Source organism: Homo sapiens, chromosome 19, assembly GCF_000001405.40.
Source record: "Homo sapiens chromosome 19, GRCh38.p14 Primary Assembly".
NCBI lineage: Eukaryota > Metazoa > Chordata > Mammalia > Primates > Hominidae > Homo > Homo sapiens.
Genome location: NC_000019.10, coordinates 40773515 through 40798652, shown reverse-complemented (window position 1 = coordinate 40798652; position 25138 = coordinate 40773515). Strand labels below are relative to the sequence as shown.

At 51.8% G+C, this 25138-nt stretch overlaps 2 protein-coding genes and 2 long non-coding RNA genes across 5 annotated transcripts in view, besides 4 other annotated features; all 4 read right to left on the bottom strand.

Moving 5' to 3' along the window:
• The window catches only part of RAB4B-EGLN2 (RAB4B-EGLN2 readthrough (NMD candidate)), a 30223-nt gene extending 9789 nt beyond the window's left edge, over nucleotides 1–20434 (bottom strand). Inside the window, exons 1-7 of the long non-coding RNA NR_037791.1 lie at nucleotides 20262–20434; nucleotides 18554–18634; nucleotides 18154–18268; nucleotides 14813–14875; nucleotides 14578–14732; nucleotides 11893–11988; nucleotides 11675–11805 (exon numbers count right to left, since the gene is read on the bottom strand). This is a non-coding gene — a long non-coding RNA (RAB4B-EGLN2 readthrough (NMD candidate)). The remainder of the gene's footprint in view (nucleotides 1–11674; nucleotides 11806–11892; nucleotides 11989–14577; nucleotides 14733–14812; nucleotides 14876–18153; nucleotides 18269–18553; nucleotides 18635–20261) is intronic.
• MIA-RAB4B (MIA-RAB4B readthrough (NMD candidate)) lies at nucleotides 1709–23116 on the bottom strand. Its single transcript, NR_037775.1, has 10 exons — nucleotides 22984–23116; nucleotides 22768–22901; nucleotides 21574–21684; nucleotides 18554–18634; nucleotides 18154–18268; nucleotides 14813–14875; nucleotides 14578–14732; nucleotides 11893–11988; nucleotides 11675–11805; nucleotides 1709–2083 (listed from the first exon to the last, which is right to left on the bottom strand). It is a non-coding gene; the product is annotated as an MIA-RAB4B readthrough (NMD candidate) (long non-coding RNA).
• Nucleotides 1711–20406, bottom strand: RAB4B (RAB4B, member RAS oncogene family). Its single transcript, NM_016154.5, has 8 exons — nucleotides 20262–20406; nucleotides 18554–18634; nucleotides 18154–18268; nucleotides 14813–14875; nucleotides 14578–14732; nucleotides 11893–11988; nucleotides 11675–11805; nucleotides 1711–2083 (listed from the first exon to the last, which is right to left on the bottom strand). Exons 1-7 carry the CDS (start codon nucleotides 20275–20277, stop codon nucleotides 11690–11692), a joined length of 642 nt encoding a protein of 213 aa, NP_057238.3. The 5' UTR covers nucleotides 20278–20406; the 3' UTR covers nucleotides 1711–2083; nucleotides 11675–11689.
• Nucleotides 18804–19335: an enhancer, noted in NCBI's record as "H3K27ac-H3K4me1 hESC enhancer chr19:41285223-41285754 (GRCh37/hg19 assembly coordinates)". NCBI's record gives its function as "activates a minimal SCP1, AML or CMV promoter by ChIP-STARR-seq in naive H9 embryonic stem cells {active_cell/tissue: H9 hESC(naive)}" and the evidence as "EXISTENCE:reporter gene assay evidence [ECO:0000049][PMID:30033119]".
• Nucleotides 20223–20292: an enhancer, noted in NCBI's record as "active region_14667". NCBI's record gives its function as "activates an Ori minimal core promoter by ATAC-STARR-seq in GM12878 lymphoblastoid cells {active_cell/tissue: GM12878}" and the evidence as "EXISTENCE:reporter gene assay evidence [ECO:0000049][PMID:35858748]".
• Nucleotides 20353–20592: a silencer, noted in NCBI's record as "silent region_10648". NCBI's record gives its function as "represses an Ori minimal core promoter by ATAC-STARR-seq in GM12878 lymphoblastoid cells {active_cell/tissue: GM12878}" and the evidence as "EXISTENCE:reporter gene assay evidence [ECO:0000049][PMID:35858748]".
• Nucleotides 21143–21272: a silencer, noted in NCBI's record as "silent region_10647". NCBI's record gives its function as "represses an Ori minimal core promoter by ATAC-STARR-seq in GM12878 lymphoblastoid cells {active_cell/tissue: GM12878}" and the evidence as "EXISTENCE:reporter gene assay evidence [ECO:0000049][PMID:35858748]".
• Nucleotides 21163–23493, bottom strand: MIA (MIA SH3 domain containing). 2 transcript variants are annotated; one of them, NM_001202553.2, is made up of 5 exons: nucleotides 23442–23493; nucleotides 22984–23116; nucleotides 22768–22901; nucleotides 21574–21684; nucleotides 21163–21256 (listed from the first exon to the last, which is right to left on the bottom strand). In NM_001202553.2, exons 2-5 carry the CDS (start codon nucleotides 23108–23110, stop codon nucleotides 21233–21235), a joined length of 396 nt encoding a protein of 131 aa, NP_001189482.1. In that variant the 5' UTR covers nucleotides 23111–23116; nucleotides 23442–23493; the 3' UTR covers nucleotides 21163–21232. The 2 variants fall into 2 exon arrangements, with proteins under 2 accessions (NP_001189482.1, NP_006524.1); NM_006533.4 differs by lacking the exon at nucleotides 23442–23493 and having other exon boundaries at nucleotides 22984–23132.
• Between the last annotated feature and the right edge of the window lie 1645 nt (nucleotides 23494–25138).

The window sequence follows — 25138 nt, the reverse complement described above, 5'->3', positions numbered from 1 at the left end:
CGGGTTGCCCTTGAGAAAAGGGAACGCGGACTAGAAGGGATGTGCAAATGTGTATTTTCAAGACCCGCTCCGGCCTGCCCCCTCGGGACGATTGTGGGAATCAGAATAAAGAACCAGGGAAAGTCTGGGCAACGGAGTGAGACCTTATCTTTACACAAAATTAAAAAATGAAACAAAAAAAAATCCACGGAACGCTACACAGAGAAGACATTTGCATGGCCAGCTGGGAACACTTTAGGAGACTAAGGAGATAAGGTCATTTTGAATGCCCTGCCCGCTCCACCATTGCTCTGGAGAGCTGGGACTCAAGGCTCCCGCCGGGTCGGTGAAGGCCGACGTGGAGATGGGAGGGCGACGAGCAACTGGGAGTGTCCTCGGGGCTGCACCAGTCCCCTGCAGGCCACCTGAGGGCGTAGGGCGGTTCGCGTGAGCACAAGGGCATGCATACTGGTATCCACACATGCGTGAGGATTGCACAAAAGCCCGCAGTCCTCAGGGCACACACAGGGTTCATGGCCACACAAGGGTGTTTCTAGTTTAGTTTTGTTTTTGAGATGGGGTCTTACCCTTTTGCCCAGGCTGAAGTGCTGTGGCATGATCATAGTTCACTGCAGGCCCAACCTCCCAACTAAAGTGATCCTCACACCTCAGCCTCCGGAATAGCTGGGACTTCAGGTGTGTACCACGACACCTGGCTAACTTTTTCTGTTTTTTATTTTTGTAGATAGGGTCTCTCTGTGTTGCCCAGGCTATAGTCTCCAACTCCTGGGCTCAAGTGATCCATCTGCCTTGGCCTCCCGAAGTGCTGGGATTACAGGCATGAGCCACCACGCCTGGCCACACATGGGTGTTTAAAAGGAGCCAAATTCACACCAAAACACACACAGACCTCGGGGTACACATGCACAGGCACACACGCAGTAGTGAGTCACTGCCTCTGACTCTCAGGCATCAGACATGCACACACCGGAGGCCCACCTATAGGTCCAAATTCCCATCCCCTGGCCTTGATGTCCCAAACAATACCAGCCTCACCAATACAATGACCAAGGCCACAGAGCAGTTACGGCTGTCAGCATCACACACAACCAGCACACATTATATCCTATAGACATCATCCCATATGCAGGTACTGGAAACATGTACACATGTCACAAACACAGGGACATCAGCGTGTTTACACACGTGAGCTTAGAACACAGATTGTCACAAACTGTCCACACAGTAACAAATTCCCTCCCTCCGCAACAGGCACCTGAGTCATCATGCTTGGTATACCCCACACCACGTCCAATCAGGAAACAAGGCCCCCAAGGCCAGGCCCAGTGGCTCACACCTGTAATTCCAGCACTTTGGGAGGCCAGCGCGGGCGAATCACCTGAGGTTGGGAGTTCGAGACCAACCTTGACCAACATGGAGAAACTCCATCTCTACTAAAAATACAAAATTAGCCAAGTGTGGTGGCACATGCCTGTAATCCCAGCTACTCGGGAGGCTGAGGCAGGAGAATAGCTTGAACCCGGGAGGTGGAGGTTGTGGTGAGCCAAGATCACGCCACTGCACTCCAGCCTGGGCAACAAGAAGGAAACTCCATCTCAACAACAACAACAAAAAAACAGAAACAAGGCCCCCAAACACCATGACACATGATTCTTCCATCAGGGACCTCTTCCATCTCCCTGCCATCTCACAATAATGGAGGCCAAGACACAGGTGTAAACAATGCTTTATGGGGGTAGGGTGGGTGCTGGACAGGCCTCCAGGTAATAAATAACAGGTACTAGCAACAGCAGGGCCAGATGGGGAGTTGGGGACAAATGACCCTGGTCTCAGGCTTTGGGAGCTCTTGGGGTATGGTTAGGGGTTCAGGGGGACAGACGTTAGCCAAGACAGAGGAAGCAGCAGCAGGTACGGGATTCCCCCTTCCCCCGTGGCTCAGTCTTGCCCCAAAGCCAGGCCCCACCAGGCCAGGGAAGGGGGACAGGTGGCAACGTAGCTTCTCCGGGGCCAGGGCAGGTTAGGACACGGCCTCTCAGAGCCTGGGCCTGGGCCCCAGCAGGGCTGGTCCTGGAGAACAGGTGAGCTGAAAGAGAAGGGTGTGGTGACCTGCAGGGTCCCCGGGGTCTGTCCAGCCGGTCTCTATCTCATTTCCAGGTATTTCCTTCCCCTCCTATCTGCATCGGTCTGTCCATACCTTTCTTCTCCCGGTTTCTACATTGTCTGATTTTCCGCCTCTCCCCTGCAGGTAATTTGGGGCTTGTGCTGAGGGTACCTGCATCTCCCTCTTTGTTTGCCTCAGAGAGCTGTCTGAGTCTGTAAAGCCACATTTCAACATCTAAATATCATGAATCTGGATGGACGCAGTGGCTCACGCCTGTAATCCCAGCACTGTGGGAAGCCAAGGCAGGAGGAATGCTTGAGCCCAGGAGTTTGAGACCAGCTTAGGCAACACCACGAAACCCCGTCTCTACAAAAACATACAAACATTAGCCAGGTGTAGTGGCATGCACCAGTAGTCCCAGCTACCTGGGGGGCTGAGGTGGGAACATCGCTTGAGCCTGAGAGGTGGAGATTGCAGTGAGCCAAGATTGTGCCACTGCACTCCAGCCTAGGCAACAGAGTGAGACTGTCTCAAAAAAATAAATAGGCCGGGCGCGGTGGCTCATGCCTGTAATCCCAGCACTTTGGGAGGCCGAGGCGGGCAGATCACCTGAAGTCGGGAGTTCCAGACCAGCCTGACCAACATGGAGAAACCTCATCTCCACTAAAAATACAAAATTAGCCAGGTGTGGTGGCACATGCCTGTAATCCCAGCTACTCAGTAGGCTGAGGCAGGAGAATCTTGTAAACCCAGGAGGCAGAAGTTACGGTGAGCTGACATTGCACTATTGCACTCCAACCTGGGCAACAAGAGCGAAACTCCATCTCAAAATAAATAAATAAATAAATAAATAAATCGGCCAGGCACGGTGGCTCACGCCTGTAATCCCAGCACTTTGGGAGGCCGAGACAGGCAGATCACAAGGTCAGGAGTTCAGACCGCCCTGGCCAATGGTGAAACCCCGTCTCTACTAAAAATACAAAAATTAGCCAGGCGTGGTGGTAGGTGCCTGTAGTCCCAGCTACTTGGGAGGCTGAGGCAGGAGAATCACTTGAACCCAGGAGGCGGAGGTTGCAGTGAGCCAAGATCACACCACTGCACTCCAGCCCGGGCAACAGAGGGACACTCCATCTCAAAAAATTTAAATAAATAAATAAATAAATAAATAAATAAATAAATAAAATGAACCTGCCTTTGTATCTTTCTGTGTCCCTCTATGTTCCTGGATCACCCTGGCTCTAAGTCTCATTTCACTGTTCCCCAAGCTGGGGAGACAACGTTAGGTTAGTGGTTCTCACTTTGGTTGTATATAGCATTACCTGGGAGCTTCCAGAAATCCTGCAACTGGCTGGCTCACATCTTTTTTTTTTTTTTTTTTTTTTGGAGATGGAGCCTCGCTCTATTGCCTGGGCTGAAGTGCAGTGGCGCGATCTAGGCTCACTGCAAGCTCCGCCTCCTGCGTTCACGCCATTCTCCTGCCTCAGCCTCCTGAGTAGCTGGAACTACAGGCACTTGCCACCACGCCTGGCTAATTTTTTTTTTTTTTTTTTTTTTGTATTTTTAGTAGAGACGGGGTTTCACTTGATCTACAGATCAAGCCAGGATGGTCTTCATCTCCTGACCTTGTGATCCGCCTGCCTCAGCCCCCCAAAGTGCTGGGATCACAGGCGTGAGCCACCATGCCCAGCCTGGCACACGTCTTTAATCCCAGCACTTTGGGAGGCCAAGGTGGGAGAAATCGTTTGAGGCCAGGAGTTTGAGACCAGCCTGGGCAACATAGTGAGACCTCATCTCTATTTATCTTTTAATTAAGAAAAAGTCCTGAAACCACTTCAGAATCTCTAGGGTGAGGCCTGGGCATCAGTATCTTTTAAAATTCTCCAGGTCATTCTAATGTGTGTCACTGCCTTGGTGGGGAAATCAGTTTGGTGGGTCTTGACCAATTTTTAAATTCAAACAGAATAGCACAGAACGGCAAATACCAGAGTGCATCATATATAATAAGAATATTCTATTGGTTGGGCAGGCACAGTGGCTCACACCTATAATCCTAGCACTTTGGGAGGCAAGGGCAAGAGAGGATCACTTGGGCCCAGGAGTTCAAGACCAGCCTGGGCAACATAGACACCATCTCTACAAAATTAAAACATTATTTAAAAAAAAAAATTTTGTAAATAGGCCGGGCGCAGTGGCTCATGCCTATAATCCCAACACTTTGGGAGGCTGACAGACGGATCACCTGAGGTCAGGAGTTTGAGACCAGCCTGGCCAACATGTTGAAACCCTGTCTCTACTAAAAATACAAAGAAATTAGCTGGGCGTGGTGGCGGGCGCCTGTAATCCCAGCTACTAGGGAGGCTGAGGCAAGAGAATCGCTTGAACTTGAGAGGCGGAGATTTCAGTGAGCCGAGACCACACCATTGCACTCCAGCTTGGGCAACATAAGCGAAACTCCATCTCAAAAAATAATAATAATAATTTAAAAAGATATATTATATTGGTTGGCTGGGCTCGGTGGCTCATGCCTGTAATCTTAGCACTTTGGGAGGCTGAGGTGGAGGATTGCTTGAGGCCAGGAGTTTTTTTGTTTTGTTTTGGTTTTTTTGGTTTGTTTGTTTTTGTTTTTGTGAGACGGAGTCTAGCTCTGTCGCCCAGGCTGGAGTGCAGTGGTGCGATCTCGGCTCACTAAAACCTCTGATTCCAGGGATCAAGCTATTCCTCTGCCTCAGCCCCCTGAGTAGCTGGGATTACAGGAGCACACCACCACGCCTGGCTAACTTTTGTATTTTTAGTAGAGGTGGGGTTTTACCATGTTGGTCACCCTGGTCTCGAACTCCTGACCTCGTGATCTGCCCGCCTCAGCCTCCCAAAGTGGTGGGATTACAGGCGTGAGCCACTGCGCCCGGCAAGGCCAGGAGCTTAAGACCAACCCCGCTAACACAGTGAGACCATATCTAAAAAAAAAAAAAAAAAAAAAAACAAAAAAGAAAAGAAAAGAAAAAAGGAAAAGAGGCCAGGCATGGTGGCTCCCACCTGTAATTCCAGCACTTTGGGAGGCTGAGGTGGGTGGATCACTTGAGCTCAGGAGTTCGAGACCAGCCTGAGCAACATGGTGAAACCCCATCTCTTCAAAAAATACAAATATAAAAATTAGCTGGGCGTGGTGGTGCACACCAGTAGTCCCAGTTACTTGGGGGGCTGAGGTGGGAGAAACACTTGAGCCCAGGAGGTCAAGGCTGCAGTGAGCTGAGATGGTGCCACTGCACTCCAGCCTGGGTGACAAAGTGAGACCCTTCTCAAAAAAAAAAGGAAAAGGAAAAGAATATCATATTGGCCAAAAGAGACAGAAAACAAATTGGTGGTTGCTAGGGGTTGGGGGAAATGGAGAGTGACTGCTTAATAAATATGGGTACAAAGGTATAAGGTACAAAGCAGTATAAGCATGGCACCTCTGAGAGTAATGAAAACGTTCTGAGGCCGGGCGCAGTGGCTCACACCTGTAATCCCAGCACTTTGGGAGACCGAGGCGGGTGGATCACCTGAGGTCAGGAGTTCAAGCCAGCCTGGCCACGGTCAAATGCCGTTTCCACTAAAAATACGAAAATTAGCCGGGTGTGGTGGTGCATGCCTGTAATTCCAGCTACTCCAGAGGTTGAGGCAGGAGAATTGCTTGAACCCTGGAAGTGGAGCTTGCAATGAGCCAAGATCGCACCACTGCACTCCAGCCTGGGTAACAGAGCGAGACTCTGTCTCCAAAAAAAAGAAAAGAAAAAAAAAGAAAACATTCTGGAACAACACAGAAGTGGTGATTGCACAACCCTGTGAATGTACTGAATGCCACTGAATTGTACACTTTGAAAAGTCACGTAAATGTATGTTATGTGACTTTCATTTTAGTGCCAAGAAACGAAAGAATACTGGTGGTAGGAAAATGTGTGTTTGAGTTTTATATGTGGGTGGGATCTGCTACAGTCAGTCCTTGATTAACACATAAAATATATTTCCTCCTGTAGATTGCAGTCAGCAAAGTGTGAAAAAGCCTTGCCTTGCCTTGTTACATTTCACCTACTGAGGGCAAACTCTCTAGGACAGAGTCTCTGCTAAGCCCTGAGGTGAAGAAGACACACCCATTCATTTGAGCTCAGCCCAAAGATGGATAAGAAGAAAACTTTAAAAACAGCCCTCATCGATCAAGTCTTGACCATCAGGCCCCATTCTGAGCACTTTCGTGAATTAATGTATTTCTTCTTCTCAACATCTATAGAAGCAGGTGCTATTATTAGCCTCATTTTACAGATGAGCAAACTTAGGCTCAGGCACAGCAGGTGCAAAGTCCTGGAAAGACAAGAGAGCACTGTCTGAAGACATCATCCTTGATTCCTCTCTCTCTTTCAGATTACACATCCATTCCATCAGGAAATCACGTTGGCTCTGCCTTCCAAGTAGATCCAAGGTCTAACCACTTGTTCCCCACCTGTCCCACCCTGGAGCTGCCAAGGGCTGGGAGGGGATTTAGCATGAAGTATAGAAGGGAGAACTGGCAAGACATACACATCCCCCAGAGAAGGAGGGATGGGACCAAATCCTGCAGGGTTTTGAAAGCCTGTCAAGAAGTTTGGGGCCGGGTGCAGTGGCTCATGCCTATAATTCCAGCACTTTGGATGCTGAGGTGGGTGGATCACTTGAGGCCAGGAGTTTGTGAGCAGCTGGCCAACGTGGTGAAACCCTGTCTCTACTAAAAATATAAAAACTTTGCCAGGCGTTGGTGGCCCATGCCCATAGTCCCAGCTACTCAGGAGGCTGGGGCACCAGAATTGCTTGAACCTGGAAGCGGAGGTTGCGGTGAGCCGAAATCACGCCACTGCACTCCAGCCTGAGTGACAGAGACTCTATCTCAAAAAAAAACAAAAGTTTGGACCAAGCCTGGAGGAACAAGTAGTGCTGCCTGGAGGAAGGAGGTTGCCAGGGAAAAGAGGGTAGGAATGTTCCAAGCAGAGGCCCAGCATGAGCAAGGGCCCAGAGGAATGGGAAGAACTTCAGTGTGGCTGGAGTGGCCTGAGAGGTAGGGAGACCGACAAGTGGCTGAGGCCGGTAAGGCTGGGCTGGCAGGGGCCAGTCCCTGCAGAGGGTCAAACACCAGGCTGAGGAGTTCATTTGTGTCCTGGGGCCCTGAGATGCATGGATGGTTTTGAAAAAGGGAGCGACAGGAGCAGATATGTGTGTTAGAAAGACCCAGTGGCTGCATCAAAAGGAGACAGGATTGGCAGGGCACAGTGGCTCAGGCCTGTAATCCCAGCACTTTGGGAGGCCAAGGCGGGTGAATCACCTGAAGTCAGGAGTTCAAGACCAGCCTCACGAGCATGGCAAAACCCTGTCTGTATTAAAAATACAAAAATTGGCCGGGCGCAATGTCTCACGCCTGTCATCCCAGCACTTTGGGAGGCCGAGGCAGGTGGATCACGAGGTCAGGAGATCGAGACCATCCTGGCTAACATGGTGAAACCCCATCTCTACTAAAAATACAGAAAATTAGCCAGACGTGGTGGCACGCACCTGTAGTCCCAGCTACTCGGGAGGCTGAGGCAGAAGAATCACCTGAACCCAGGAGGCGGAGGTTGCAGTGAGCCGAGACTGCACCACTGCACTCCAGCCTGGGCAACAAAGCGAGACTCCATCTCCAAAAAAAAAAAAAAAATACAAAAATTAGCTGGTTGTGGCAGTACATGCCTGTAATCCCAGCTACTTGGGAGGCTGAGGCAGGAGACTCACTTGAACCCGGGAGGCGGAGGTCGCAGTGAGCCAAGATGGCGCCACTGCACTCTAGCCTGGGTGACAGAGTGAGCAGAGTGAGATTCTCTCTAAAATTAAAAAAAAAAAAAAAAAAAAAGGAAAGGCTCATGCCTGTAATCCCAGCACTTTGGGAGGCCGAGGCAGGAGGATCACGAGGTCAGGAGATCGAGACCATCCTGGCTAACACCGTGAAACCCCATCTCTACTAAAAAAAATACAAAAAATTAGCCGGGCATGGTGACGGGTGCCTGTAGTCCCAGCTACTCAGGAGGCTGAGGCAGGAGAATGGCATGAACCCAGGAGGCGGAGCTTGCAGTAAGCCAAGATCGCGCCACTGCACTCCAGCCTGGGTGACAGAGCGAGACTCTGTCTCAAAATAAAAAGACAGGAACCAAAAAAAAAAAAAAGAGAGAGGCCAAGACTGGAAGACAGAGAGTCTAGGGAGGACATGAACCCTATTCCCTTCTCAGCCACTCCTCTTCCCGCCCCCTTGTCCTGTCCTCCACCATCTTCCCTGGACTTTGCAGCAGCTTCCTCTCTGGTGTCCTGGTGACCTCCTCTGTCCCTCACAGCCCCTTCCCTTTATGCAGCCAGAGGAACTCTCTGCACCCCTGAATCTGATCCTGTCCTTCCTCTGTTCAGAAGCCTCCCATGGCTCCCACACAGGGTATAAGCCAGAGGCCTCCCCAGGGCCCACAGGCCCTAACTGATCTGCTTCCTCCAACCCCTGACCCCATCTCATGCTGTACCCACAAAACACACACAGGTCCTCCATGATGACCACACTGGCTGCTTTGGTCACCCTCACCGACACCAGGCATACCCCTCGCTAGAAGCGTTGCTGTGCTCTCCAGCAGTGCTCTTGCCCCAGATCCCCACAGGCCTCCCTATCTCCCTTCCTTCACTCAAATGTCATCTTCTCAGCGAGGCTTCCCTCCTCATCTTGTTTAAATGTACACTCTTGGCCAGGTGCGGTGGCTGACGCCTGTAATCCCAGCACTTTGGGAGGCTGAGGTGGGCGGATCACGAGGTCAAGAGATCGAGACCAACCTGGCCAACATGGTGAAATGTCTCTACTAAAAATACAAAAATTAGCTGGGCATGGTGGCACGCACCTATAGTCCCAGCTACTCGGGAGACTGAGGCAGGAGAATTGCTTGAACCCAGGAGGCAGAGGTTGCAGTGAGCCGAGATCGTGCCACTGCACTCTAGCATGGCGACAGAGTGAGACTCTGTCTCAAAAAAAAAAAAAAAAAAAAAGGCTGGGCGTGGTGGCTCCCGCCTGTAATCCCAGCACTTTGGGAGGCTGAGGCGGGCAGATCACCTGAGGTCGGGAGTTCCAGACCAGCCTGACCAACACGGAGAAACCCCGTCTCTACTAAAAATACAAAATTAGCTGGGTGTGGTGGCACATGCCTGTAATCCCAGCTACTCAGGAGACTGAGGCAGGAGAATTGCTTGAACCTAGGAGGCAGAGGTTGCGGTGAGCTGAGATCGCGCCATTGCACTCCAGCCTGGGCAACAAGAGTGAAACTCCATCTCAGAAAAAAAAAAAAGTACATTCTTGGCCGGGCGCAGTGGCTCACGCCTGTAATCTCAACATTTTAGTAGGCCAAGAGTGGGTGGATCACTTGAGGTCAGGAGTTTGATACCAGCCTGGCCAACATGATGAAACCCTGTGTCGGCCAGGTGCGGTGGCTCACACTGTAATCCCGGCACTTTGAGAGGCCGAGGCGGGCAGATCACAAGGTCAAGAGATCGAGACCAGCCTGGCCAATATGGTAAAACCCCATCTCTACTAAATACATAAAAATTAGCCAGGCGTGGTGGCGGGCGCCTGTAGTTCCAGCTACTCAGGAGGCTGAGGCAACTTGAACTCAGGAGGCAGAAGTTGCAGTGAACCAAGATCGTGCCACTGCACTCTAGCCTGGGCAACAGAGCAAGACTCCATCTCAAAAAAAAAAAAAAAAAAAAAAAGAAACCCTGTCTCTATAAAAATTAAAAAAAATTAGCCAGGCATGGTGGTAGTCGCCTGTAATCTCAGCTACTCGGGAGGCTGAGGCAGGAGAATCACTTGAACCCAGGAGGCGGAGGTTTCAGTGAGCCGAGATCACGCCACAGCACTCCATCCTGGGTAACAGAGCAATACCCCATCTCAAAGAAAAAAAAAAAAGTACACTCCTCCACCCTATCCACTCATCTGTGCCTGTTTTATTTTTCCCCATAGTTCTTACCTCCCTCACTACTACATACTTTACTTTTTTTTTTTTTTTTTTTTTTAAGAGTCTCGCTCTGTCACCCAGGCTGGAATGCAGTGGCGCATGGTCACAGCTCACTGCAGCCTCGAACACCTGGACTCAAGCCATCCTCCCACCTCAGCCTCCCAAGTAGCTGGGACTCCAGGTGCACACCACCACGCCTCGCTAATTTTAAAAAACTTTTTGTGGAGATAAGGTTGCTTTGTTGCCCAGCCTGGTCTCAAAGTGATCTTCCCATCTCACCCTGCCAAAGTGCTGGGATTACAGGTGTGAGCCACTGCGCCCAGTCGACTTACATCTCTTGTTTATCACCTGTCTCCCCCAAAGAGAATGTCAGCACCATGAGGATGGGAGTCTGTTGTACTCCCTGCCATATCCCCAGTGCCTTGAGCAGGGCCTGGCACACAGCAGGCGCTCAATAAATCGCTGGAGAACTATGAATGGGAGGGTCAAGGTCTAGGGCAGGAAGCTGGCCTGGGGCTGCAGGTGGATTCCCTGTGGCCTGGCAGATGTCTCTTTTTTTTTTTTTTTTTTTTTTTTTTGAGACAGAGTCTTGCTCTGTCGCCCAGGCTGGAATGCAGTGGCTGAATCTTGGCTCACTGCACCCTCAGCTTCCTGGGTTCAAGTGATTCTCCTGCCTCAGTCTCCCAAGTAGCTGGGACTATAGGCATGTACCACCATGCCTGGCTAATTTTTGTATTTTTAGTAGAGGAGGGGTTTCACCACGTTGGCCAGGCTGGTCTAGAACTCCTGACCTTATGTATACCCCCCATCAAATGCAACCCCTCTGCCTGTGTCCCCTCATCCCACCTGACCCCTCTGCCTCTGCCTGCCCTATCCCACCCTGATCCCTCTGCCTGTGCCCTGACCCTGGCCCTGACCCCCCTGGGCCTCTCCCCTGCTGGCTCTGACCCCTCTCCCCCAGTGCCTCCCCATCTGGTCCTGACCTTTCTTTCTTTTTTTTTTTTGAGACAAAGTCTTGCTCTTGTCACCCAGGCTGGAGTGCAATGGTGTGATCTCAGCTCACTGCAACCTCCACCTCCCAGGTTCAAGTGATTCTCCTGCCTCAACTTCCCGAGTAGCTGGGATTACAGGCACCTGCCACCACGCCCAGCTAATTTTTGTATGTTTAGTAGAGAGGGGGCTTCACCATGTTGGCCAGGCTGGTCTCGAACTCCTGACCTCAGGTCATCCGCCCGCCTCGGCCTTCCAAAGTACAGGGATTACAGGCATAAGCCACCGAGCCAGGCCTGGCCCTGACCTTTCTGAGCTGTCACTGTCTGGAAGTGGGTCTGTCTCCCCACCCCCACCCAATGAACTGCCTCCGCCCGCCTCGGACTCCCAAAGTGCTAAGATTACAGGCGTGAGCCACTGCGCCCAGCCAGATGCCTCCTTTAGCTTGTGTGTTTTTGCATCTTTCTCTCACTCTGTTTCTCTTGTCATCACATGTTCAGTGTCTATCTCCACACCATCTCCCCCATGCCCAAGAGGCCGCCCTGCCTCCCTAAAGCCCCCAGTGTCCCACCTGGCTCCACAGAGCTCAGCAGCCACACGGCTGAGGGGCCACGGCCTGGGCACTCCGAGGCTGCCGAAGCTGGCGGAGGGACGCATCCCCGTACTGAATGCCAGAGCCCATCCTCTCCGGGTCTAGCTCGCCTGTGGGGAAGGGGAGAGGTCAGCATTGGTTGCCTGGAGACCCCCGGGCCTGCCCTTCGCTCCCACTCGGGCCGGTCGGGGCCTCACCTGAGTCAATCTTGTTGAGGATAGTGCGGGCACACTTGAGGAACGCCTCCTCCACGTTCTCGCCTGTGAGAGCGCTGGTCTCCAGGAACATCAGCTCTGCAGGGGCACACACTCTGAGGTCAGGGCCCCAGTTAGTCCCCACCCTCCACTGAGCTCTCACCTGCTGACTCTCATCCTGTTCCTCCAATGTTCCATCCCCCCTTACCCTCACCTCAGGCCTCTGCGCATGCCATTTCCCTGCCACTAATGTCCGCTTCCCGATATGCCCACCCAGCTCTTCCTTCAGAGCTCAGCTCACACAGCTCCTCCTCCAAGAAGTCCTCCCTGACTTCCTGGGCTGAGTCAGGTACCGACTTAGGGCTCCCACAGCTTCTTGTGGCCCCCTATCCTGGCCCTGACCCCACTGCTTGTGCTTCCTCATCCTGGCCCCAACCCTCTGCCTGGGTCCCCATCCCACCCCTGACCCTTCTGCCTGGGCCTGCCCCATTCCTTTCCTGACCCTTCTGCCTGGACCTGCCCCATTCCACCCCTGACCCTTCTGCCTAGGCCTGCCCCATTCCACCCCTGAGCCCTCTGCCCATGCTCCCCCATCCCATGCAACCGCTCTGCCTGTGCCTCCCAAACTTGGCCTTGACCCCTCTACCTGGGCCCCCCATCCCACCCCAACCCCTCTGCCCTTGCCCCCCATCCCATGTAACTCCTCTGCCTGTGTCCCCTCATCCCAACTGACCCCTCTGCCTCTGCCTGCCCTATCCCAGCCCTGACCCCTCTGCCTGTGTTCTCCATCCCACCCCGATCCCTCTGCCTGCCCCCCCAGTACTGGCCCTGACCCTCTGGGGCTCTCCCCTGCTGGCTCTGACCCCTGTCTCCCGGTGCTTCACCATCAAGCCCTGACCTTCCTGAGGTGTCACTGTCTGGAAGTGGGTCTGTCCTTCCACCCTCACCCACTGAACTGTGAGCTCCATGAAGGTTGGGCCTAGGGCTGTCTCCAACACTGTGTCTCTAGCACCATCTAGGACAGGAACAGGCCAACCAGAGTCTACCCATCAGCAGCATGACAAGGCCCCACAGTCAGAAAATCAGAGCTGAATTCACACCCACACCTCTCTGATGGCAAAACCTCCTTTAAACCTGGAGGTTGCAAAACAGGGGAACACAGGCAGATCTCAAGCCACCAGATGTGGGTGGTTTGGCCAACACAATGTTTTCAAATGAGTTTATACTTGCAAACCTTTTTTGTTTTTTTCTTTGAGACAAAGTCTCTCTCTGTCCCCCAGGCTGGAGTGCAGTGGTGTGATTGCAGATCACTGCAGCCTCGAACTTCTGGGCACAAGTGATCCTCCTGCCTCAACCTCCTGAGTACCCCAGACCACAGGCACATACCACCACACCCAGGCTTTTTTTTTTTTTTTTTTTTTGTAGAGGCAGGGTCTCACTCTGTTACACAGGCTGGTCTAAAACTCCTGATCTCAAGTGATGCTCCTACCTTGGCCTCCCAAAATGCTGGGATTACAGGTGTGAGCCATTGTGGTTGGCCCTTGCAAACCTTTTGGTGTGGGTTGTCAGTATGCTGCACTCCCCTTAACACCAGTACCTGTTACTCAAGGATCTACCCCATCCCATCTCCTGTATTCAAAAATGTGCCTTTCACCGGGCGCAGTGTCTCACGCCTGTAATCCCAGTACTTTGGGAGGCCGAGGCAGTCGGATCACAAGGTCAGGAGTTCGAGATCAGCCTGGCCAATATGGTGAAACCCCGTCTCTACTAAAAATATAAAAATTAGCCAGGCGTTGTGGCGCACACCTGTAGTCCCAGCTACTCGGGAGGCTGAGGCAGAAGTTGCAGTGAGCCGAGATTGCGCCACTATACTCCAGCCTGGGCAACAGAACAAGACTCCGTCTCAGAAAAAAAAAAAAAAAAGTGCCTTTCACCTAGGGCCATCTAGGGTTGCAATCTCTACATTAAACCAATACCCAGGAAGGTGCGGTAGGAGGAAAAAATAAATAAAATAATTAATTTAAAAAACCAATACCCTGTGCGGCCTCCTGACGGTAGGCGAAACCTTAGCGGCCAACATTAATCTAGCACCCACTCTGTGGCGGGTGCTAAGGACTTTCCACAATCTCCCTTAATCATCACAGCACACTGTGGGGCAGAAACACTGTGATCCCACTTTCCAGATGAAGAAACTGAGAACCAGTGTAATCACATAGCTCACTGATGGCAACACTTAGTTTTGTTGTTGTTTTGTTGTTGTTGTTGTTTTTGGAGACAGTGTCTTGCTCTGTCTCCCAGACTGGAGTACAATGGCGTGATCACAGCTCACTGCAGTCTTAAACTCTCAGGCTCAGGTGATCCTCCTGCCTCAGCCTCCACTGTAGCTGGGACTACAGCCATGAGCCACCACACCCAGCTAATTTTTTAAATTTTTTATAGAGATAGGATCTCACTGTGTTGTCCAGGCTGGTCTCAAACTCCTGGGCTCAAGCAGTCCTCCCACCTTGGCCTCCCAAACTGCTGGGATTACAGGTGTGAGCCACTACACCCAGCCAACACTCAAATTTGAACCCAGACTTCTGAACCTCCACGTTCCCCTGCTGGGTACAGCCACTGAGAGCCAGTAAACCCATGGTCCCTGTGGACTGTCCACCCCCACCACCACCTGGTCCACGACACAGCCCTCACCATTCTCCTGGGCAAAGCGGGAGGCCTCCAGGAAAGTGACCTCCCGCTCAGGGTCCAGGTCCTTCTTGTTGCCACAGAGGATGACCACGATGTTGGGGCTGGCCAGGGTGCGGGCATCCGTCAGCCAGGCAGCCAGTGAGTTGTATGTCTCCCGGCTGTGGAGAAGGGAGAAGGGAGGGAGGCAGTGCAGGAGAGGAACCACCCATGCCCTACCCCACCCACCCCGGGCACCCACCTGGTGATGTCGTACACCAGCAGGGCTCCAGCCGCCCCTCGGTAATAACTCCGCGTCACTGACCTGTGGGGCCAGGGGGACCCAGTCACCCCCAAGGCTGGGGTCTGCCCCGAGAATGCCCCCCTCTACAGAGACAGACTGGTGGTTCGGAGGCCCCCCCCTTCACTGCTGGCCCATCCCCCAAAACCTGGCCTTGGTCGGGTCACCATGCAATTCCTCTCTCTTCTTGCATCCTTGAAGTCCCTCTCTCTTCGCCTCTCTCAGCTTCTATCTCACTTAGCTGGCCAGCTGTCTCTATTTATGAATCTCCATTTTTGTCTCTCCCTGTGTCCCTATCTTTCCATTCGTCTGTTTTTCTCTCTGTGTCTCTTTCATGTGTGTCTTATTTTTTATTTTTTTGATGGTCTTGCTCTGTAGCCCAGGCTGGAGTGCAGTGGTACGATCTTGGCTCACTGCATCCTCGACCTCCTAGGCTCAGTATCCCAACGGAGAGATCCTCCCACCTCAGCCTATGTAGTGTCTGGGACTACAAGTGTGCACCACCACACCTGGCTAATTTCTTAATATTTTTTGTAAAGATGGGGCTTTGCTAGGTTGCCGAGGCTGGTCTCCAACTCCTGGGCTCAAGTGATTCTCCTGCCTTAACCTATGTGTCTTTTTCCTTTTTCTTTTTTTTTTTTTTTTTTTTTTTTTGAGTAGGAATCTCACTCTTGTCTCCCAGGCTGGGGTGCAGTGGCATGATCTCGGCTCACTGCAACCACTGCAACCTCCACCTCCCGGGTTCAAGTGATTCTCCCACCTCAGCCTCTCGAGTAGCCAGGATTACAGATGCACGCCACCACATCAGGCTAATTTTTGTATTTTTAGTAGAGATGGGGTTGGCCATGTTGGCCAGTCTGATCTCGAACCCCTGAGCTCAAGTGATCCGCCCACCTTGGCCTCCCAAAGTGTTGGGATTACAGGCGTGAGCCACTGTGCCCGGCCCTACATGTCTTTTATTGATTGATTGATTGATTGATTGACTGATTGAGATGGAGTTTTGCTCTGTCGCCCAGGCTGAAGTGCAGTGGCGTGATCTTGGCTCACTGCAACCTTTGCCCCCCGGATGCAAGTGATTCTCCTGCCTCAGCCTCCCAAGTAGCTGGGATTACAGGCATGCACCACCACGCCCGGCTAATTTTTGTATTTTTAGTAGAGATGGGGTTTCGCCATGTTGGCCAGTGTGGTATTGAACTCCTGACCTCAAGTGATCTGCCCGCCTAGGCCTCCCAAAGTGCTGGGATTACAGGCGTGAGCCACCGTGCCTGGCCCTATTTAATTCCCTATTTCTGTCTTTTTTGTTTGTTTGTTTCATCTCTGTGGCTCTCTCATGCTTACCTTTGCCTTCCCATGCATTTGTGCATTCATTCATTCAACATTTTCTGAGCAAATCTCCCCTTTGCCTGGCCCTGCCCAAGCACTATACAACATCTGCTTATCCTTCTCCTGCTGTGTCAGGTGGAGTCTCCTTCCCAGTGTAGCCAATTCTGCATTCTCTGTCTCACCAGTCTGGGTCCTTCTGGAACTCATGCAATCATTCCACAGCATTTACTAAGCACTCACCGTAAACCTAGCCCATGCTACACACCTGTCTATCCTTCAGCCCCTCTCTCTGCCTTTGGGCTCTGTGCACCTCAGGCAGTTAATCCATACGCAAGAATTAACTCAGCAGCTACTAGATGCTGCCATAGATCACACTTTTCCGTGGACTGAATTCCCTCTATTTCTCTCCCTGCTCTCTGTTTCTCCGACTCTCCTAAGGTTTTTTTTTTTTTTTTTTTGAAACGGAGCCTAGCTCTGTCGCCCAGGCTGGAGTGCAGTGGCGCGATCTGGGCTCACTGCAAGCTCCGCCTTCTGGGTTCATGCCATTCTCCTGCCTCAGCCTCCCAAGTAGCTGGGACTTCCAGCGTCTGCCACCACACCCAGCTAATTTTTTGTATTTTTAGTAGAGACGGGGTTTCACCATGTTAGCCAGGATGGTCTCGATCTCCTGACCTCGTGATCCGCCCGCCTCGGCCTCCCAAAATGCTGGAATTACAGGCATGAGCCACCACGCCCGGCCTCTCCTAAGGTTTCTATGTGTCTATCAACTTTTCTGCTCTGCAGGCATTTCCTGAAGACCTACAGTGTGTTGAGCCCTACGCATTTCTCTCTCTCTCTCTCCCACAACACGTCCATTTCTCCATCTCTCTTTTGGAAAGATGGGATTTCACAATGTTGCCCAGGCTGGTCTCAAACTCCTGGACTCAAGCGGTTCTCCTGCCTTGGCGTGTGTGTCTTCAGTTCCCTATTTCTCACTGTCTCTCTTTCTGTTCCATCTCTGTGGCTCTCATGCTCACCCTTGCCTTCCCGTAAATTCGTGCATTCATTCATTCAACGTCCAACTACACCTGTCTGACTCACCCTGTCTCCCTCTCTGCCTCTGACCTCTGTTTCTCTGTGTCTCCTCACCTCCCTTATTTATTTATTTATTTATTTATTTATTTATTCATTTATTTATTTATTTATTTATTCAGAGACAGAGTCTCGCTCTGTCACCCCGGCTGGGGTGCAGTGGTGCGATCTTGACTCACTACAACTTCTGCCTCCCAGGTTCAAGCAATTCTCCTGCCTCAGCCTCCCAAGTAGCTAGCATCCACCACCACAGCCTGGCTACATTTTTTGATTTTTTTTTTTTTTTTTTTTTTTTAGTAGAGACACGGTTTCACCATATTGGCAGGCTGGTCTTGAACTCCTGACTTCAAGTGATCCACCTGCCTCAGCCTCCCACAGTGCTGGGATTATAGGTGTAAGCCACCGTGCCAGGCCTCCTTACCTCCCTTATCATTCTCTTCAACTCTCTTAGTCTCTGTCTCTCTTGCTCTTTTCCTTTCTGAGTGTGAGTCTCTCAAGTTTCCCCTTCTCTTTCTGTTTCGGTGTCTCTCAGTCTCCATCCCTTTCCCCACCCCCAAGCCACTTTTCTCTATCTCTTTTTCTTTCTTTGAGATGGGGTCTCACTATGTTGCCCAGGCTGGTCTCAAACTCCTGGGCTCAGGCAATCTTCCCACCATGGCCTCCCAAAGCACGGGGATTACCGGCATGAGCCATTGCGCCTGGCCCCTACCTCTTTTTCTTCCACCATCTCTTTATCTCTCCAGTACTCCCTCTCTCCTTGGATATATATACCTGCTAACTACGGTGTCTCATCTCTCTCTGTCTGCCTTGTCTGCCCTCTCAGTGTCTCCAAGTGACTCTACACACACATCTCTCTCTTTCCTTCTCACTCTCTCTCCCCATCACCCTTGGGAGCCCAGCCCACCTACCGAAACCGCTCCTGGCCAGCCGTGTCCCAAATCTGTAGCTTCACAGTCTTCCCACCCACGTTGACCACCCGGGATCCAAACTCCACGCCGATTGTGTGGTTGGAGTCCTGTTTGACTGGGAGTAGGAGGAACAGAAGGGGCAGTACAGGGAGAGAGGAGACAGCTCAGAGGATCCCCCATCCTCCAAGGCCCTCTCAGTCTCTACAAACCCATTCTCCTTGCTGGAGTGACTTGAGGTCAAGGAGAACCTAGTAAAGGACATACGACAAAGCAAGGACCAAAAAGCCAGCACTGGACTTGTACCTATGGCCAGCCCTGCCCTCCCCACCGGCTGCCCACCAGCCCACACCATGCGCATAAACACAGCTCAGGGTTCCCAGGACCACTGCGGGAAACTCACACTTATTCTCAATGAACTGATGAAGGAGACATGATTTGCCAGTTCCTGCACTGCCAATCACCAGGAATTTGAAGAGGAAGTCTGACCAGATGGAGCCAAAATCAGGGATACCCACAGGGAGAGAAAGATACAGGGAAAAAAGATGGATTCCAATCCAATCTCTCTCTCTAACCATCACAGTTAGAGGGAGAGAAACAGACATAGGCAGAAACAAACCAATAGGTAACAGTAACAGATAACTCTTATGTAGTACTTGCCATGTGCCAGGCACATTCTATATATTTTTTTTCAACTTTTATTTTAGATTCAGGGAGTACATGTGCAGGGGTTTTTTTGTCGTTGTTTTTGTTTTTTTGAGACAGAGTTTCACTTTTCGTTGCCCAGGCTGGAGTGCAATGGCGCGATCTCGGCTCACCGCAACCTCCACCTCCCAGGTTCAAGCAATTCTCCTGCCTCAGCCTCCCGAGTAGCTGGGATTACAGGCATGCGCCACCACACTCAGCTAATTCTGTATTTTTAGTAGAGACGGGGTTTCTCCATGTTGGTCAGGCTGGTCTCAAACTCCCGACCTCAGGTGATCCGCCTGCCTCAGCCTCCCAAAGTGCTGGGATTACAGGCATGAGCCACCGCGCCCAGCCCACATGTGCAGGTTTGTTACATGGGTCAATTGTGTGTTGTTGTGGGCCAGGAACAGTTCTAAAGGTCTTTACTCACATCAACAGCTCACATCATCCTCAGGAAAACTCTATGAGGGAGGTAGACTAAAAATTATTCCCATTTTCCGGATGAGGTAACAGGCCAGAAAGGTTAACTGACTTGCCCAAAGTGACACAGCTGGGCAGAAGTGAGATTCAAACCTAGGCCAAGGGCTCCAGAGTCCCAGATCTTAGCTATTTTGTCGCTAAAGTCTCTTGAAAGCTATTTAAACAAGGACTACGATATAGCCCTTGTTCCTCTTCACCTCCTACCACCCTCTGACTCATTCACTCCACTATAGCTCCTGACCTTCAGTCTATTCCCTGAAAATGACAAGCTGGTTCTCACCTCAGGGTCTTTGCACTCTTCTCCCTTCTCTTCTATATTTGTTGAGTGAATGCGGCTCCCTCTGACTCCTAAACCTGCACTTCCCCTGCCTCCAATCACCACCTCCTATGGTGCATCCCTACTGATTTTCCACTTCCCGACCTCTCCTTCCCTCCCTCTGCCCAGAACCCGGCTCCATTCTCATGCATAAGTCCCACCCTTTGCCACTAAGTCCTGCCCCTAACTCAAGGACAGCCCATCCCCAAACCCATTCCAGAGCTCTCTCCAGCCAGATCAGCCCCAGGGTCCCGAGCTTCCATTCAGTGTTCCCTCTAGCCCATAAGCCCGACTCCTGCCATTCATGCAGTCAGCCCCGCCCCTTCACTCAGGCTCCGCCCAGATCCATTAAGGCCCACCTCTTCCCTCAGGGCCTCCCTGAACCCCTCAGGACCAGCTCCCTCAAATCCCGCCCCAGATCTATTTAACCCACGCACCAGACCCTCAGGCTCCACCTAAATCGATTAAGCTCAGCCTCAGACCCACTAAACCCCTCCCAGCATCCACTTAGGTCCTGCCTCCATCACACCAGACCCCGCCCCCTGATCTACAAAGCCCCGCCCATTCCCACAGGCCGCATCCTCCCTGGGCCCAGACCCAGGACCCCAGCTTCGTCCACCACCCTCACCGTAGGTCTCAGCCATGACTCGGTCGCGGCCGCTGAGGGCCGCAATATGGCGCCGCGGCCGCGCCTGCTCCTCGGCTGGCAGCCGCTCCACTCCGGCTACAGCCCCGGCTCCTTCCTACTCCCCGGGCCCGGCACCGCCACTTCCGCCTCCGCCCCCCTCCGGCGCGACCCGCTCCGGCAGCTGGATACCAGGCGACGCTTTCCGAAGGGCGGGATTGGCGGACTCGCGGGCAGGGGGCGGGACAAGAGGCGCGGATTGGTGGCGTGAGAAGGACCAAGCCCAAAGGGGCGGGGCCGAGCCCAGCGATTGGCTGAGCAAGTGGGAAGGGACGTGCAGAGCTGCTTAGCTGAGCCGAGGAACGGATTTAGTCTGGAGTACGGGGGGCAGAGTCGAGTCTCCGGATTGGATCGGAGCGGACTTGGGGGAGGGGATACAAATGCAAAGAAGGGGGCACGGGCAGGATTGACAGAAAGAGGCTGGAAGAGGAGCTGATCTTGAGCTGGCGGGAGCGATTACTGTTCTCAAAGGCGAAAAGGAGGAAAACTGGGCAGATAGGCGCAGGTTACTTCCCACCTCCCTTTCCAGATAATCTTCCAAGAAAACCTTTACTGTGCGATTTATATCCTCCGCGTAGTCCGATTGGCTCCCTCCCACTGGTCTAGAGAGGACACTACAATCCCCTAGTTGGGCTGCTTAGGTTTTCCTTTGCTTGTGTCCGAAACCTAAGCTTAGGAGCGCTCCTACTGCACAGGGCTTTCATCAGTGAAACTCTGCCTAGCAACCACTGACGTTACCACAGGCAGCGGGTTAATTGGTTAGATTCAGCAACCTAGAGAAACATTTCATTTGTACAGTCCCCACCCTACCCTACCCCACCCCAAAGACCACGGAGACGAGCCGTTTGCACTGGGCTGATTGTATTTGCATAAAGCCAAGGAGGGGAAACGGCAGGGCCAGCGGTAGGCTGAGCTCACTGGCAGTAGAAATCCCATTTCTGAAAAAGAGAAAGGGGAAACAGTGGAAAGAAAACCAGCGGTCACACCACAAAGGATCTAGTGGTTTTAGCAAAGGCTGCAGCTGCAGGGCCCAGGTCTGGCCACACAAGTGCTATGCAAATTAGCCTAGAGCCCTCTAATCTTTGCACCTCCCAACTGGACCCATTTTACTGGTGAGAAAATTGAGGCAGGGAAAGAATTTCTCCCAGCGCACATACCTAGGCTGCCAGGGAGCCAAGTGTGGGAGCATTTTTGCCCATCCCCACAACCTAAGGGTCCTCCCCCCACATTTCTTGCCAGCCCCCATGACACTCACGTCTGTCTTCACATCGACTTTGCCAGGTTTCAGGGTCTGGTCCTCTCGGACAATGCTACTGGGGAAATAGCCCAGGCGAGCAGCCAGATCTCCATAGTAATCTCCCTGAACCTGGGGAAGAGGAGTTAAAAGCTAGGGTCTGGGAAGATGGCAAGCTTGTGCCTGCTGAAGGCCTTTGCATTCTCCCTTCTCCCTGATCTCCACATAACTGCTCCATCCTTGTCATATGAATCTCAGCTTAAATGCCACCTGTTCAGAGGCCCTTTCTGAACACCCAAGTAAGTCTCTGTTAATTCTCACAGCAGCGCATATTTGCTTTTATTATTATTATTATTTTGGAAACAGGGTCTCATTGTGTCGCCCAGGTTGAGGTGCAGTAGCATGATCACGGCTCACTGCAGCCTCAACTTCTGGGATCAAGCAATCCTCCCACCTCAGCCTCCCGAGTAGCCGGGACCACAGACACATGCCATGAAGCCCAGTTAATTTTAAATTTTTTTTTATAGAGATGGGGGTCTTGCTATGTTGCCCAGGCTGGTCTCGAACTCCTGGGCTCAAGCTATCCTCCCAACTTGGCCTTACTTGGGATTACAGGTGTGAGCTACTGTGCCCGGCTGCTGCTATTTTTTATGCCTTGCTTTTTGTTCATTTCCCTCCATTAGAATAAAAAGGATCATTTGTTGTTGTATCTTGGTGTCTAGAACAGAACGTGGGACCATATCAGGTCCTAAAATTGGTAAATAAAGTGAAAATAGGCTGGGGGGCAGTGGCTCACACCTGTAATCCCAGCACTCCGGGAGGCCAAGGCGGGCAGATCATGAGGTCAGGAGTTCAAGACCAGCCTGGCCAATATGGTAAAACCCTGTCTCTACTAAAAATACAAAAATTAGCCAGGTGTGGTGGTGCATGCCTGTAATCCCAGGTACTTGGGAGGCTGAGGCAGGAGAATCGCTTAAACCCAAGAGGTGGAGGTTACAGTGAGCCGAGATCGTGCCATTGCACTCCAGCCTGGGTGACAGAGCAAGACTCTGTCTCGGAAAAAATTAAAAAATAATAAGCAAATAAAATAAAGTAAGTAACAATATCCCCCCACAATGTCTATTTCAGTTCACCCCCCTCAAATCTTCCCTTCATGGGGATAATGAGTCTACCCCAGCTCTGTACCCTTCCCTCTTTCACTCTCCCAAGACTCACGCTGCCTCCCCAGAAGAGCCGCCCACGGCCCTTCAGCTTGGAGAAGACATACACCACTTGGCCCCGGTGAATGGTCAGGAATCGGCAGTCGGGGGCCATGTAGTCCTGAAGGGCCACAGCCATGGAGATAGGGTCTAGGGAAGGAATAGAAGGGAATGCAGCACCCTCCACACAGGCTAACGCCCAAGCCCCCAATTCTCCCCTCCCCATTCTTACGGCTGCACTCCTGGTCCGCACACAGCTTCCGGTCAGCCAGCTTGGGCATAGGACCACCCCTGACACCAGGTCCGGAGAAGGCAGACAGCAAGATGATGACACCAAGGCACACCAGGGACCGGGCCATCGTGGACTGTGAGCAAGAGAGTGAGCAAGGGGGTGCTGGGGTCTCCAATTTCCTCCCCTCCCTCTCTCCCGTAGTACAAGGAAACTTGTGTTCTTGGTCTTGTCCCCGCCCTAAACCAGTCCCAAACTTCGCCCACACCACCTAGAAGTTGCTATGAAACCAGAACCATTTCAAGGATAGGGTAAAGGCTGTAAGCCCAAGGAAATTCCCAGATAAGGTCCAAAGCAGCTCACAACTTTCCCAGTGACAGCCCCCTCCTCAACAATCACAGAGGCCTAGATAAGGTGGTTGAAATATTCAATTCCATCTTCTCTTGAGTTGGCTTAGGTACCTGGGCTCCTCCGCTGTCCCCTCTGGCCACAGAAGCGGAGGAGCCTGTAAAGAAAACCACCTTGGAATTTCCTGTGCTGTGGGGCAGGAGAACAAGGCAGCCCTTTGATTACCAGAAACAGCCCAGCCCTTGAGTACTGACTGAATATTGTATGCTGAACCTTAGGCTAGGCAAAGTCCCACCATGATCACTATTCCTCTGCACCAGACGCTTCCCACTGGATGACCTGGGCTAAGCTATTTCTCCTCACAAAGCCTCAGCTTCCTTATATGTAAAATGGGAACAATAAAAAAGCCAATAGTTACAGAGCATTCACCAAGTACATATTTATGTTATGAACTCAAATGGATACTCTGTATCATGTCAGGAGGAGTGATTATAACCCCTCCCTTTTTTTTCTTTTTTGAGACAGGGTCTCACCCTGTTGCCCAGGTGGAGTGCAATGGTGCCATCCCGGCTCACTGCAGCCTCAACCTCCTAGACTCAGGCAATCCTCCCACCTCAGCCTCCTGAGTAACTGGGACTACAGGCACAAGCCACCTATGCCCAATTAATCCATTTTTTTAAATAATTATTTTGAGGTAGAGTCTTGCTCTGTTGCCCAGGTTGGAGTGCACTGGCATGATCCTGGTTCACTGTAGCCCCTATTTCCTGGGCTCAAGCATTCCTCCCACCTCAGCCTACCGAGTAGCTGGGACCACAGACATGTACCATTATGCCCAGTTAATTTTTTGTATTTTTTGGTAGAGCCGGGGTTTCGTCATGTTGCCCAGCCTCGTCTCAAACTCCTGGGCTCAAGCAATCTGCCCACCATGGCCTTCCAAAGTGCTGGGATTACAGGCATGAGCCACCAAGCCCAGCCTAATTTAATTTTTTGAGACAGGATCTTGCTGTTGCTCAGGCTGAAGTACAGTGATGTGATCATAGCTCACTGCATCCTCAAACTCCTGGGCTCAAGAAATCCTCCCCTCTCAGCCTCTCGAGTAGAATAGTAGGCAAGTCACCATTCTTGGATGATTTCTTTTATTTTTATTTTTCTAGAGCCAATGTCTTACTGTGCTGCCTGGGCTGGTCTTGAACTCTTGTCCCCAAGTATCCTCCCGCCTTGGCCTCCCAAAGCACTGGGATTACAGGCATGAGCCACCAATGCCTGGCCTATAACCCCTTGTTACATGGAAATGGAAGTGTGGAGTTAAGGAACTTGTCTAAGGCTTACAGAGCCAGGAAGTGGAGAAGTGGAGAGGCTAAGACTTGTATCCAGGCCCACAGCCATTGCTATGCTATCTTTTTTTTTTTTTCTTTTTTTTCTTTGAGATGGAGTCTCATATTGCAGTGGTACAATCTCAGCTCACTGCAACCTCCACCTCCCGAGTTCAAGCAATTCTCCTGCCTCAGCCTCCCGAGTAGCTGGGATTACAGGCATGTGCCACCATGCCCGGCTATTTTTGTATTTTTAGTAGAGACAGGGTTTGTCCATGTTGGCCAGGCTGGTCTCGAACTCCCCACCTCAGGTGATCCACCCGCCTCGGCGTTCCAAAGTGCTGGGATTATAGGAGTGAGTCACCGCGTCTGGCCTGAAAGATTTTTTTTTTTTTACAGGCAGGGTCTCACTCTGTCACCCAGACTAGAGTGCAGTGCCACAATCACAGCTCACTCAGCCTTGAACAACTGGGCTCAAGCTATTCTCCCACCGCAGC